At 43.0% G+C, this 15,754-nt stretch overlaps 1 protein-coding gene across 4 annotated transcripts in view; it reads right to left on the bottom strand.

Moving 5' to 3' along the window:
* GALNT17 (polypeptide N-acetylgalactosaminyltransferase 17) overlaps nucleotides 1-15,754 on the bottom strand; it is a 581,456-nt gene that overhangs the window by 377,206 nt on the left and 188,496 nt on the right. For all 4 annotated transcript variants that reach the window (NM_022479.3, XM_011516467.4, XM_017012521.3 and 1 more), the window contains exon 2: nucleotides 661-844. In NM_022479.3, the coding sequence (NP_071924.1) occupies nucleotides 661-844 (184 nt within the window). The remainder of the gene's footprint in view (nucleotides 1-660; nucleotides 845-15,754) is intronic.

The raw sequence follows: 15,754 nt of genomic DNA, 5'->3' as shown, positions 1-15,754 counted from the left end.
CCTACACATGTTCCCCTGAACATAAAATAAACATTAAAAGAATAATAATGGCTGGGTGTGGTGGCTCACACCTGTAATCCCAGCACTTTGGGAGGCCAAGGCGGGCAGATCACCTGAGGTCAGGAGTTCGAGATCAGCCTGACCAAAGGCATAAAATCCCATCTCTACTAAAAATACAAAATTAGCCAGGTGTGGTGGTGCATGCCTGCAATCCCAGCTACTCGGGAGGCTGAGGCAGGAGAATCACCTAAACCCCAAAAGGCGGAGGTTGCGGTGAGCTGAGATCGCACCATTGCGCTCCAGCCTGGGCAACAAGAGCGACACTCTGTCTCAAAAAAAAAAAAAAAAAAAAAAAAAAAAAGGAAGAAAGAAGAAGGAAGAAGAAGGAAGAAGAAGAAGAAGAAGAAGAATTAAAATACAAAGCTTTTTGTATTGAGGCTCTTTCTATATGTTTCTGGAACACTTTGATAACAACTGAACTTTTTTGTTTAGCTAATCTTTCATATGCAACAGGAGTACTAAGTTTATTTATTAAAGAGGAAACTAAAATAAAAACTCCCCCAAGAGTTACAAATAACAGTGGAAAATATCACAAACGTAGGGGTCTACACCCACTCTGACGACCCATCAAGCTCCGCAAATGACTGAACCAGAACTTACTTGGTGGGACGATAATCCGGAATGGAACGGTCCAGTGAAATTTTTTCACTGAGGTATGAATTGTAGCCATACTTCTCATGGGGTCCCTTAGCCTTTTCTTCTTCAGCCGGGGAAAGAGTAGCCGGAAGGCCCCCTTTACCCCGCCCACCATAACCTTCAATGAGCCCAAGGGATTTGGATAAGCCTAGAAAAAGTGGGAGAAAAAAGAATTATTAGAAAACCACCATACCAGGATGTATTACTCAATCTCCGCTGCAGCTTCAACAGACATTTTAACATTACTTGTCACAGAAAAAATGATGTCCTCAATTTATCCAACTCAGGTATAGGCCCTGAAAACATTTCCATTGAGAGGAAGGTCAAGGTCACAGAGAGTTCTGGGGTTAAAGTCTGGTTAGAATCCTCTCCCTCTGTCTCTACCAAAAAATACAAAAATTAGCTGGGCGTCGTGGTGCACACCTGTAGTCCCAGCTACTCGAGAGGCTGAGGCAGGAGAATCTCTTGAGCCCAGGAGACAGAAGTTGCAGTGAGCCAAGATCACACCACTGCACTCCAGCCTGGGCAATAGAGCAAGACTCTGTCTCAAAAAAATAAATAAATAAATATAAAAGAATCCTCTCTCTCCTTTTGGGGACTGGGATGAGATGGGGGTCTGTAAAAGGGAGAGACCATCTAAACTGGGAGAAATGAGGACGAAAGAGGACATAGGAAATGAGACAGAACTGGGGCCATTATTCACGCCTGTTTCCCTTTTGCTAGGAGGAACTACAGCAAGAAGAAATAGCACAGAATAAAAACAGCAAGTCACAGATAACTGCCAAACTGCAGATGCTTTTGCTTCATTTGAACAGAAAGTGACATACAGATTGATTTTTATCTTGAGTTTAAAGGGTCCAACATTCTGACACAGCTCTTTCCCTAATGGTTTTATTTAAATTTTATCTAAATGGCAAGAGGAAATACAAAATGTTTGAGAATAAATCACAGAGGAGAGGAAAAAACCCACACGGGTGATAACAGTGCCAAGTAGACTTGGAGGCCTCTGTAACAAGCCTCACTGAGCAATTGCAAGCTCCCAGGATGGTGACACCTTAAACCTATTATTCCATTAGAGGATAAACAGCTTGATGGGCAATTTTTAAATCCTGGAGTTATGGGAGGTTTTATTACTTAACTAGAAAACTTTTGTTGTTAAGGGTTCTCATTGCCTTCTGCCATTTCAAATGTTCCAGCTACTCAGCACACATACACACATACACACACAATCACACACACACACACCACTTTATCCATTTAAATGATGGAGATCCAATATCCAGTGTTTCATTGCTGCCACTGACAGAAAGAAGGACCAGCCTCCTTGGCTTTCACAGCCTGGGCAGCCGGAAGCGCCCAGAAGGATCCAAATCTCCCACGAAGACATCCCCTAAGCAAGTCAAGAGCCAGGAAACCTGCTCCGGTAGTGAGACGGTTCCCCATCACCTAGTGGCAAAGCTTGTATTCCCTCTCCTGCTTCTCTGAAAACAGAAATTTATTTTCTGTAATACCAAGATCAAAAGCAAAGGTTGAACGAGCACCGTCAGACGAGCATCATTTCTCTGCTTGAGAATCATTTCCACCGTCCAATATGCTCTTCAGGAATCCTGGTATCTTTTCTTGCTGCCACCATCTCCATAGAGACCCTATCGGCGGAGAATTAGAGTACTCCAGCACTTTCTACCTGCTCCCTCATGCTGAATCTGCTTCCACACTGATGTGTAACACATCTTCAAATGACAACCCCTGAACTCTGCTCAAAACTCCACAAAGATTCTTCCCATGTTGAGTACAAACACCTGTGCTTGGTTTTAAAATCACTTGTGATGCAACATTACTAGTGGGAATGTACAGTTGTCCCGCCACTTTGGAAAACAGTTGGGCTGTTCTTCAAAATGCTTAATATAGGCTGGGCACAGTGGCTCACGCCTGTAATCCCAGCACTTTGGGAGGCTGAGGTGATCACCTGAGGAGTTCGAGACCAGCCTGGCCAACATGGTGAAACCCAGTCTCTACTAAAAATACAAAAATTAGCCGAGTGTGGTGATGTGCACCTGTAGTCCCAGCTACTTAGGAGGCAATGAGCAAAAATCCCACAGCTGCACTCCAGCCTGGGTGACCGAGCAAGACTCTGTCTCAAAAACAAAAACAAAAAATGCTAAATATAGTTACCATATGACCCAGCAATTCCACTCCTAAGAAATTTCCACCCAAGAAAAATGGAAACATTCGTCCCCAAAAAAACTTGTGCACAAATGCTCACAGTTGCATTATTCTTATTAGCTAAATGTCCATCAACTGATGACTGGAGAAACAAAATATAGTATCTCCAGACCAATGGAATATTGGGCAATATAAAAGAATGAAGTTGTGATACAAGCTATGGCATGAGTGAACTTTGAAAATGTTATGACAAGTAAATGAAGCTAGTCACGGAAGACCATATAGTGATTCTATTTATGTGAAATGTACAGAATAGGTAAATCTGTATAACCTGAAAGTAGATCCATGGTTGCTTTCAGTAGGGAAGGGGGAACTTGGGGAGAAAATGGACAGTGACTGTTAATATGTATAGCACTTTTTCCTGGAGTAATGGGAATGTGACAGCATTAGCTCATGGTGATGGGTGCACAAATTTGTGAAGATACTACAAGCCACTAAACTGTACGCTTTTAAATAGATGAGTGATATGAGCTGTATATCTCAGTATGGCTGGGGGCCATGGCTCACGCCTGTAATCCCAGCAATTTGGGAGGCTGAGGTGGGCGGATCACTTGAGGTCAGGAGTTCGGGACCAGCCTGGCCAACATGATGAATCCCGTCTCTACTAAAAATACAATTAGCTGGGTGTGGTGGTGCATGCCTGTAATCCCAGCTACTCGGGAGGCTGAGGCAGGAGAATCATTTGAACCCAGGAGGCAGAGGTTGCAGTGAGCCAAGACTGCGCCACTGCACTCCAGCCTGGGCAACAAAGCAAGACCTCATCTCAAAAACAAAAACAAAACAAACAAACAAACAAAAACAAACAAAAACTCAAACCAGTTGTTAAGAAAAGAACACTTATGATAGACAATTCTATTCACAGCAAGATGAAAGGCTATCCAACATGAGAATTTTCCAGCAAGATACCTAAAAACACTCAATAAAACGATTTTAAAATATTTAAAATATATAGGTGACCTTGCAAGAAAGAAAGGGAAACTCCTCAAGGTAAGTTAAAATCGGAGTTGAGTCTATGTCTGCTCTCAGAGAGGGAGAGGATGAGTTGCTCATTAACTAAAAGCTGCAGTTTCAGAGCTCAAGCGTGCACAGGATATGAGATTTTGGGTTCTCTTGAGAAATATCATTGAAACTGAAATATCTGCAAAAATTTAGGTCCCTGAAAGACTGGATTTTTTTTTTTCCCCAAATCCAAGGAACAGCGTAATGAGACAAACAAGAAGATGGATATGCTCAGAACTAGGGGCAAAAATTGCAATCCAGGACTTGAGACTACACATATGTTTGTCTGAATTTACACAGTCTCCAGAGATCAGAGAATTGCCATTTAAGATTACAAGCTCTTCAGAGAGTACTCAAGACAATCATAGAAACAGGGTCATAAAATCTAATTTTTAGTATTTTATATGGAGGAAGGAGCCCATCTAGGCTAAAGTCTCTGGGCCCACAAAAGTCATTCTGCAGCCCTAGGTCCCTTGACTTTAGCTTTTTATCTATAAGTGACAAATAAAGAAGGAAAGTAACAAGATCTGAAGTGTGGCCAATAACAGCACAAGGACTGACCCCAGGCACTAACAGTAGTGACAGCAACCATTTATTCAGTACTCACTATGTGGTGGGCAATTTAGCAATTTTTCACTTTTATTCTACCATTGTCTCATCTAATCCCGTGACAAGCTCAGGGGGAAGGTATTATTACAATCTCTGTTTCACAAACGAGGACACTGGGTCTGAGAATGTAGGAACGTAGGAACTTTTTTTTTAAGGGATGGTCTCACTCTGTCACCCAGGCTGGAGTGCAGTGGTATAATCACAGCGCATTCACTGCAGCTTTGAACTCCCGGGCTCAAGCAATCCTCCTGCCTCGGCCTCCCAAGTACCTGAAATTACAGGTGCGTGACACTAACCTAGCTAATTTTTTAAAACAATTTTGTATAGATGGGGTCTTGCTATGGTGCCCCAGGCTGGTCTCAGACTCCTGGCCTCAAATGATTCTCCCACCTTGGCCTCCCAAAATGCTGGGATTACAGGCGTGAGCCACCACACCTGGCCAAATATAGGAACTTTTTAAAGGTTCCATGGCAATTAAAGGAGGATAAAGGCCGGGCTCTGAGGCAGATTATGAGACCTGTTGCAGAATTCTTGCAGCAGCCTGTGCGAGAGATGGCAGGAAGCTTATTTTAAGGCAGCGGTCAGTGATCAAAAGGAATGGAGAGATTTGAGGGTTGTTTAAGAGATACCATCCCAGGGTAGGAGATAAACAAGAGATAAGGCTGAAAGAGAAGGAGGAACTGAGCAAAACTGAGTTTCCAGGTGAGTGATAACACTGCCCAAAAAGACAGGGCATACAGAAGAGAGTGTGAGAAGACAATGAGTTCCATTCTTCACATGTGGTACACGAGGCATCCGTGGGACATCCAGATGGCGTCAGAGTCCAGTGGAAAATTGAAGCACATGAGAATGGAGGTTCAGACAGCAGAGGTGGCCTGAGATACAAACCTCACTGCCATCAGGACAAGCAGGCTAGAGCCGTGGCAGAGGGTGCAGAGAGGAGAGCCCAGGAGCAAGAAGGGGAAGGATAGGCAATGTTCAGCAAGTGCTCACTGACTACCCTATCCCTTGTCTATTTCCACCAAACAGGAGGAATTGCATCCGGCGAAACTTTTTTCTTTTCTGCTCTATATGCACGGCCTCTCAGTTATGCTATATTTGAACCCCAAGACTTCAAGAGACTGAGACTTAAGGAAGAGAGAAATGTCTTAATAAGAAGCAAGCAGGCCAAGTGCAGAGGCTCATGCCTGTAATCCCAGTGCTTTGGGAGGCCGAGGCAGAGGAACTGCTTGAGCCCAGGAGTTGGAGAGGAGCCTGGGCATCATAATGAGACCCCACACCATCTCTACAAAAAATAAACAAATTAGCCAGTGTGGTGGCCTGTGCCTATAGTCCCAGCTCCTTGAGAGGCTGAGGAGGTAGGATTGCTTGAGCTCAGGAGTTCAAGCCTGCAATGAGCTATGATTACACCACTGCACTCCAGCCTGGATGACAGAGTGAGACCCTGTCTTTGAAAATAAATAAATAAAATAAAAAATAAGAAGACCTTATCTCTGGAAAAAAAATAACTAAGTGTTCAAGTTTCCTGTTTGACTTCAGAAATCCCACTTGTCCAGCCGGGCACGGTGGCTCATGCCTGTAATCCCAGCACTTTGGGAGGCCAAGGCGGGCGGATCACTTGAAGTCAGGAGTTCAAGACCAGCCTGGTCAACATGGTGAAACCTTGTCTCTACTAAAAATACAAAAATTAACCGGGTGTGGTGGTGTGCACCTGTAGTCCCAGCTACTTGTGAGGTTGAGGCAGGAGAATCATTTGAACCTGGGAGATGGAGGCTGCAGTGAGCTCAGACCACACCACTGCACTCCAGCCTGGGCAACAGAGCAAGACTCTATCTCAAATATATATACATGTATATATACACACATATATGTATATATATACACACACACATATACGTATATATATACACACACACATATGTGTGTATATATATACACACACACACACATACATATATATATACATATATATATTCTTGGAGGACACCCAAAGGACCTCCAAGGTATATGGCCATTGATATGGCTTGGCTCTGTCTCCTTACCCAAATCTCATATTGAATTATAATCCCCAGTGTTGGGGTAGGGACCTGATGGGAGGTGACTACATCATGGGGTCGAATTTCCCTCTTGCTGTTCTTGTGATAGAGTGAGTTCTCATGAGACCTGGTTGTTTAAAAGTGTGTAGCACTTCCCCCTTCTCTCTCTCTCTCTCTCCTGGCTCTGTCCATGTGAAGATTGTGCCTGCTTCCCTTTCGCCTTCTGCCATGATTCTAAGTTTCCTGAGGCCTCCAAACCATGCTTCCTGTACAGCCTGCGGAAGTGAGGGAATTAAACCTCTTTTCGTCATAAATTACACAGTCTCGGGTAGTTTTTAATAGCAGTAGGAGAACGGACTAATACAGACACGCTCCACTGTAAAGCTGCGAGATGGGCACAGCTGTTCCTCAGTGTACGATTACAGCCTGACATATATAGGTCATACATATAATGTGTCCAATACTGCATGATGAAAAAGACAGCTAAAAGACTACCAAGCATGCTTTTTTCCTCTTTATTCTGTGTGCTCTTACTCATTCGCCCTGGATTTTCCCTTTCCCTTCCCCAGTACTTGCTAACTTCCCCTCACAAGCCACACACTCCCAAGGGTCAAGGCAAGAGACACTATCAGAATGGGACAGAATTCCTGACCTTTGACTTAACTGGGCAGCTTCCACAGAAAAACCTCTGATTCTTCCTCTAACTTAATCTGTGTGGTTGGGTTGGCTTGTCTTTTTCTTCACTTGACGATACAGCATATCTTTTGTTCCATCTAAATAGAGAGCTTCCAATCCCAAGTCATTAAATTCCACCTTAGAGCTAAAATGCATTTCAGATGTGTTTGCCTAGCACAACCCCCTGGGCAGCCTTTCCAATGCAGTCAGAGGGGCCAGAAGGAGAATTTTTTTTATAAAACAGTATAGAAATTAAGACTAAGCATGCATGCATATCCCACCAAGGAGACACAGGGAATGATGGTCCCAATGAGATTTTTTTCTCCTTATGTGGCATTATTGCTTCCATTATGAAAGGCATTCACTTAACAGCCTCCAAAAAGATCATTCCTCACAGTGCGATGTGACACCTGTGAATTACATATTTTTTGGTCCATGTGCTTCCATTTTCACCCCCACTTAATCTGCCACAAAGGTTCAACAAAGCAGCAAAAAAAAAAAAAAAAATCACTGGTATTTTAACGTGCTTATTTTGCAGGCCCCAGAAACTGTTGGCAAAGATAAATAAGAGTTCAAGTCCACCAGCCGAACTCAAGTTGGTCTTAACTTAGCCAGGAAAGGTTGCCGTTGGAGCAAGTTGGGATGATTTCGTGTACCCAAGAAACCTTCTTTTCTGCAAGTGCCCCTTGCTCAGTCGTCAGAGGCAGCCGCAATCTTTGAGGAATGAAACTGAACTTGTAGGCAGAGTAGTCACAAAGTCAAAGGGGGAGAAGCAGCAGCAAAGAGAGAAAGCAGGAAGAGAATGGGGTGGCTTCTTGGCACCAGGCCTGCGAGAATTCATTGTTCCCTTCTTTTCCGCCTGAGTTATTTTATTAAGTTGGTGCAAAACTAATTGTCGTTTTTGCCACTAAAAGTAATGGCAAAGACAGCAATAACTTTTGCACCTAACAGCTGACGACAGTTAAAGCCAAGTGGCACTATTAGGTAAGAACTCGAAGATAAAGAGAGGAAGGACAGATTAAGGTCAGTCATCCTACTGCAACCATATCAAATATCCTTCATGCTTCACTCCAGATCTATTCTCCATCCTTTTTCTCCCAGTTGCATACTCTAGGAGAAAGACCTATAGGGACAGCTATAGGTTCACCTGCCCCCCTGGCTTTGGGTTGAGATGAACCAATAGGAGGCAACATAAGGACACTTCTTGACAGATGGATGGAAAGAGAGAGAGGTGTACTTATTCTCCCATCTCTTTCCCTACTGGGCTGGGGTTTAGTAGAAGGTACTAAATCTTCTATAATCCAGTTGTTATCAGGCATGCCTCTCTTAGGTTTACAGCTATCCTTGCATTCTGTTAACCACTCCCTCCTCTTGCCTCTGCAGACCTTAGGGTGGCAATTTCTTCCCTCTCTGTTGCTAGCCCTGGGGTCATTCACTAACCCTTGTCATTCCTTATTGGTTTCCCTTAACCCTTCACAATCTTTGTAAATATTTTGGTAACCTCTCTTTAATTGCCCCTTCTGAGTGTGCTACCTGTCTCCTGCCAGAAAGGAAAGTCTTGATGCTGTATCTGTATCCTCACAGATACAGCATCCTACCTGATATGGTTTGGCTATGTCCTCACCCAAATCTCATTTTTAATTGTAGCTCCCATAATTCCCACATGTTGTGGGAGGGACCCAGTGGGAGATAACTGAATCACGGGGGCAGTTTTCCCCATACTGTTCTCGTGGTAGTAAATAAGCCTCATGAGAGCTGATGGTTTTGTAAGGGGTTCCCCTTTCAATTGGCTCTCATTCTCTCTTGTCTGCTGCCATGTAAGACATGCCTTTCCCCTTCCACCATGATTGTGAGGCTTCCCCAACCATGTGAAACTGTGAGTCCATTATACCTCTTTTTCTTTATAAATTACCCAGTCTTGGGTATGTCTTTATCAGCAGCGTGAAAAGGGACTGATGTACTACCAATCACAACTGGAAGACTTCTCCTGTGGTCCCATGTTTAGGTGCTCTCCTTAATGGCATACATGTGGTCACCTCCAGTGCCTGACACACAAAGAGTTCTTAAAAACTGTTAGGTAGATGGATGAATAGAGATTAGATCTGGAGAACCAGCTTCAGGCCATCTATTACAAACTGAGTATTTCACTTTAAGAAAGCAAATTAAATATCCATAAGGAAAGCATCTAATAGGAAAAGAGGTGTTGAATATATTAAATATTGTAGTATATTTATGGTCACAAAGAAGAGAATCTCTACTGATGAATGTCACAGAGAATTAAGCCTGAAAAGAGCCCTTTGGTGTGGCAATGAAAGGCACTGGTGACCTCTGAGACAGTGTCAGTGAAGTAAGTGTTTCTAGGGTGATAAGGAAATGAGTCACGAGATACAGCTGTCACTAGAAAAGGATGCCCAGGCTGGGGCAAGTAGACATCTCATATTAATAGTGTTTTTTAATTCAGCAAAAACCAACTAGAATATACAATGTAAGTAAATCTATTTCTAAAAGTAACAAATATTACAGTATACCTAGGAATAACTTTAACCAGTAAGAAGAATATTTGAAAATTTTACTAAATGCAATAAAATAAGACATATATAAGTGGCAGAGAAGAACACGTCTTTGAGTTGGAAGTTGGAATGTTGGGAGATTGTTAGGAGATCCTCTCTCTCTCTCTTTCTTGCTTTCTTTCTTTCGAGTTGGGGTCTCACTCTGTCACCCAGGCTGGAGTGTAGTGGGGGTGATCTTACCTCACTGCAGCCTTGAGCTACTGGGCTCGAGGGATCTTCCTTTTTTCAGCCTCCTGCGAAGCTAGGAATACAGTCATGCACCATCCTGCATGGCTAATTTTCTTAACTTTTGTAGAGATGAGGTCTCCCTATGTTGCCCAAGCAGGTCCCAAACTCCTGGACTCAAGCGATCCCCCCGCCTCAGCTTCCCAAAGTACTGGGATTACAGGCATGAGCCACTGTACCCATCCACTGCCTTTTTAATACATAGGTTTCACATAATTTCAAAGGGGATTTTTTTTTCTGCAACACAATAAAACGTTCTAAAATTAACCTAGAAGAACACAGACGTTAGAAAATTTAGAATTGTTTTAAAAAAACAAAAGACAGAAAAGGGGTAGCCTTCTCTGATATTAAGCTAGAAAATAAAGCAATAATCACTAAAGTGGTATGAAGACTGGGAGGAAATTTTAAATATACGTTGGCAGGTGAGGCTGTAAAATATATGTTTTCTCAGGTAGTCATCCAGTTTTTGAAACATAAATAAAAATAACCTCCACTTTTGAAATTTTAGAAATTCCCTTCTAGTGCAGGCAAGCCAACGACTCATTTTTGCACGACATCTTGTGTGAATGATGGAGCAGCTCCATCTCACACAGAACCCAGAAATCCTCTGAGGGCCACACGGTTGATCACCGCTCAGCAAGAGCACATCACTCTGCCGATGTCTGTGGTTAAGTTCAGCCCAAGCTATGAAGGCTCGATGGTGGTGGCAAAACAAAAGAGTCAAGGTTGTAAATTGACTCTGAGCTGCCTTCCCACCTTCCTTCATACAAATGAGGACATGATTTTCTCCAGGGTTACAGCGGAAACTTATGGGTTTACAGATAACCAGCATTATTCTTTTAGAAATAGAGATGGTACACACGATGGAGGCACAAACTCCAGGATAGATGGTGACCACAGCAAAATGCAATCTGGTGCCTTGTCAACTCATAAAGCTCCTCATCATCTCAGCAGCCCCAGCCCAGCATGCAGTAAATCTCTCTCTCTCTAAGCCAAAGAGCCAGCATGTCATGCAGCCCGTCTTCCACTGGGCAGGCATTTGTTTGGAAGTTTCTGCAGAGAGGCCAGAGCCCTCCTGCCGGTCCGCGTCTCAGGGAGATCCTACCTTATGCTAGATCATCTGGAAGTCAATAAAACTTATAGACAATGCACAAATTGCAGCCATTGCAGCCATAAGCTTAACAGTGAGCAACATTCCAGGTTTACTCCTGGCCAATTTCAATGTACTCCTGGGGGTTTGAGGAGCCACCTCTTAGAATCCAGTATGGTAATAAAGGTAAGTATCTGAAAAATACAGTTTATCCTTCCAGCTATTAACACACACTGAAAAACTCCAATAATTAAGAAGGTGAAATAATGGACTAGGAAAGGATAGGCAAGATCAATGGAACACAAGAGCTTGTCAGGAAATATTGCCAAAAGAAAAGATAGCCCCATTTTGGATACAATTATTAGTGATAATTAGTTCAAATGACAAATGTCTATTAGACACAAAGCACTATAATAAGCACTTCAATTATTACATGTACACAAAATTTATGCTAAATATGTGTGCTATATGTATATTTTTAAATTCACATGCGTATGTGTATATATATATACACGCACGCATATATTTTTAAATTCATATATACATTAAATTAATAAATATAATATTTTTTAAATTGTTACTCAAATGACTCTTGGTGCTAACTCCTTTTTTTGAGACAAGGTCTCACTCTGTCACCCAGGCTGCAGTGCAGTGGCATGATATCGGTTCACTGCAATCTCCACCTCCTGGGTTCAAACGATTCTCCTGCCTCAACCTCCCAAGTAGCTGGGATTACAGGCATATGCCACCATGCCCAGCTTATTTTGTGTGTGTGTGTTTTTAGTAGAGACCAAGTTAAGACATGTTGCTCAGGCTAGTGTTGAACTCCTGAGCTCAGGTGATCTGCCCACCTCAGCCTCCCAAAGTGTTAGGATTACAGGTGTGAGCCACTGTGCTGGGCCTCTTGGTGTGAACTCTGAATATCTCCTGACCCTATTCTCACCTCTCCATCTCTTCTGCCACCACCCAGATGCAAGCTCAAGCCACCGCTTACTTGAGTTATTGCAGGCAACTCCTAACACCATCTTCGGAGTGAGCTTTCCAACATGCAAATCTGAACACTGCTTGCTTGAAATTCATTAGTGCCTTCCTGCTGCCTATGGAAAATAATCCCAAAGTTTTCACGTAATATGCAAAGCTGCTTATTAGTGGAGTCCTTGCCCAGCCTCGTCCTCTGCTGTTTCCTTTGTTTAAGGTACCCAAACCTTCCTCTGATGGTTCTAAAAAGCTGCTGCCCTTCAGGACCACTGCCAGTCTTCCCTGCTACTCAACAGAGCCCCGGAAATCCTTTCTGGACACTATCCAACCCAGAAAGTCAGAGGCTGGTGAAAATCTCAACCACAACATTTCTGATATCATAGTCTATGTGCCCTTGACTGCTCACTTGCGTGAGCACTGGTCTCTTGTGAACAGGAAGGCATCTTTGTGTCTTGCACATAGCAAACACCTCGTAAATATCATAGATACGATTGGACGGCTGAATGACCAAAGTGAGTCAATGAATGAATGAGTGCATTATAAACTGCACTGGCCAAATTTAGCATCATATTCTACTGTGCATACAGAAATCTCCTGGTGACATGTCAGAAATGGGTAAGCGCCGTTTCATTAACTCATGTCAAATCATCATTGATTCCCTAGTTCATATATCAGTACGATGATCTTGATATTTGTTGACAACTGAATTATGATGATGATTTTGACATTTTCCCTCCTGCATTTTCAGTGCTTCCCTGACATGATGTCCAAAGGTTATTAATATCTTGAATGAAATTTTAAGAGTTCAATTGTATCAGCTGCTGCTTGGTGGAAGAGAATGGAGTAAAATGTTCCCTAAGTATTAGGACAATTAGTACACCTGCAGTCCAACTTAGAATCTTGGGTTGGAAGAAAGGAGAGGTCAGCTAGCCCCACAACCCCATTTGGTGCAGAAATTCCAGAGTGATGGCGACCCAGCTTATACTGTATTCTCCCAGGGACAAAGAGTCCACCACCTTGTGGTACACTGCATTCCTGGTTTATAGTTCAAATAAATAAAATTTCAAAAATGGGTACCTTTGTTTCTTCTACCCAATGATCTTATTTTTTTCTTCTACATCAATCATGCAGATTACACTTTCATGTAATTTTCAAATATTACAAGACATTATCAAGACATATCATTATCATGTAATTTTCAAATATTACAAGACATTATCAAGACATATCATTAACCGTCCTTTTATCTTCTTTTTTTTTCCAGGCTAAACACACCCACTCCTTCAGCCATCTTAATATGACCATGTTTTCATACTTTCCACAGTATCTCAGCCAGCTAGGGGTGCTATATCAAAATGCCATAGATGGAGAGGCTTAAACAACAGACCTTTATGTCTCATAGTTCTAGAGGCTGGGAAGTCCAAGATTAAGGTAAACGCAGATTTGGTTCTTGGTGAGGGCTCTCTTCCTGGCTTGCAGATGGCCTCATTCTTGCTATATCCTCACATGACAGAGAGAGGGAGAGCTTGTGTCTCTTCCTCTCCTATAAGGACCCTGATCCCATTATAAGAGTTTCACCTTCATTACCTCAAATAAACCTGATTACCTCCGAAAGGCCTCATCTCCAAATAGCATCACAATGAGGCTTGGGGCTTCAAAATATGAATTTCAGCGGGGGACAAAACTTGGTTTATAACACATGGTGATCCACTGTTAAATTCTGTCCTAGAAGACAAAACAAGGACTAAGAGGTCTCTAGATTTGTGCTTCCCTCAGAGCCACGAATACTGGAGGTACATTTTCGCCCATTAACTGAACTGCTCATGTAGCATTTGTAGTTCCAAGAGATATGAATCATTGTTAGACGCTTGAAGTGCCTTTGGAGCAAACGTTCCATAAATTTTCAAACTGCGGTTTTATTCAAAATGACATGTCTTACATGTATTATGAACTTTATACTTCCTGGAATTGCTCTACAAAGGTTATTTAATTTGATCCTCCGAATAGCTTTATCCACAGTCAGCAGATAAGAAAATTGAGGCCAGGCATGATGGTTCACACCTGTAATCCCAGCACTTTGGGAGGCTGAGGCAGGAGGACTGCTTGAGGCTAGAAGTTAGAGACCAGCCTGGGCAACATAATGAGACCTGTCTCTACAAAAAAATGAAAGAAAATTAGCCAGGCATGATGGCACACACCTGTAGTCCCAGCTGCTTAGAAGACTGATGTGAGAGAGCTGCTTAAGCTCAGGAGGTTGAGGCTGCAGTGAGCCATGATTGTGCCACTGTACTCCAGCCTGGGTGTCAGAGCAAAACTCTGTCTCAAAAAAAAGGAAGGAAGGAAGGAAGGGAGGGAGGGAGGGAGGGAGGGGAAGGAAGGAAGGAAGGAAGGAAGGAAGGAAGGAAGGAAGGAAGGAAGGAAGGAAAGGAAGGAAGGAAGGAAAGGAAGGAAGGAGGGAGGGAGCTGGGTGTGGTGGCTCGTGCCTGTAATCTGAGCATTTTGGGGGGCCAAGGTGGGCAGATCACTTGAGGTCAGGAGTTCAAGACCAGCCTAGCCAATATAGAGGCTGAGGCAAGAGAACTGCTTGAGCCTGGGAGGCGGAGGTTGCAGTGAGCTGAGATTGCACCACTGCACTCCAGCCTGCGTGACAGAGCAAGACTCAGTCTCAAAAAAAGGGAGGGAGGGAGGGAGGGGAGAAAATTGAAGCACGAAGACAATGAAGAATGTTCTGAAGTGTTAGATCTAGAACAGGGTCTCTGTATTTCAGGCCACCAGGCATGCCTTAAGGCAATGCTCTCTCAGATTTCATGCCACTGTGATGGCGAGGATCTCAAAGGCCCGAACCTCACTCTCAGCACCGAACAAACATTGCCACAAATATCCCCCTGTGTGAGGAGAAGATAAACACGTATGTCTGTCTTGGACAGTCTCTGGCTGCTGATATGCCCAAGAGTGTCTGTGCAAAGAATATTTCTAACCAAATAAAGAAGAGTTTGGGAACCTTCAGAATTTTCTCAGAGCAGATGGATGAAAGGTTAATTGTGTTACTTAGCCTCCTAGCATTTATAAAGCTGCACAAGGGGGAAAAAGGCTGATCTAGGAGCAGGTAAGAAATATGCTGAATTGAATAAGCACTCTCCCTGCCAAGACCTAAGAAATTTGTCAGCATCAAATGTGTGCTTGACACTGTACACCAGGTCACATGCTGCATTTGCTCAGCCCCTCTCAGTCTCAACAACTTTTGGAGAAAATTCTCTCTCCTCCACTATGCTCCAAGCACTCCTTCTAGCATTTTTATTCCTAATCGGAGGGGCTAAAGAGGAGGGACAGAGTGGGACACGAACCTTCACCAATTCTCCCAAAAGCATGTAAATTTCTGCTATCACGTGGGTACATCCCCAGTGATTAGAGATTTTGAGTGACAACAATTCTGGTCATATCATAGAAGGTAAATTATGAAATCAGAAGGATAAGGAAGAGTAAGGCAGAACAAAAACGGATCACCCTAATAAAATGTTGCTACCTTCCTCCCCTCTTCAAAATCATCAGTATCACACATCCCACCACCACCACCATCATCTCTAATTAATTTATAGAATCTGAAACAATAAAGCATCTGTTCTAAAGAGGTATTCAGAAGCACTATCAATTTT

The sequence above is a fragment of the Homo sapiens genome, chromosome 7, assembly GCF_000001405.40.
Source record: "Homo sapiens chromosome 7, GRCh38.p14 Primary Assembly".
Taxonomy (NCBI): Eukaryota; Metazoa; Chordata; class Mammalia; order Primates; family Hominidae; genus Homo; species Homo sapiens.
Note: the sequence above shows the minus strand (reverse complement) of the source record. Positions and strands in the feature narration are given on the sequence as shown.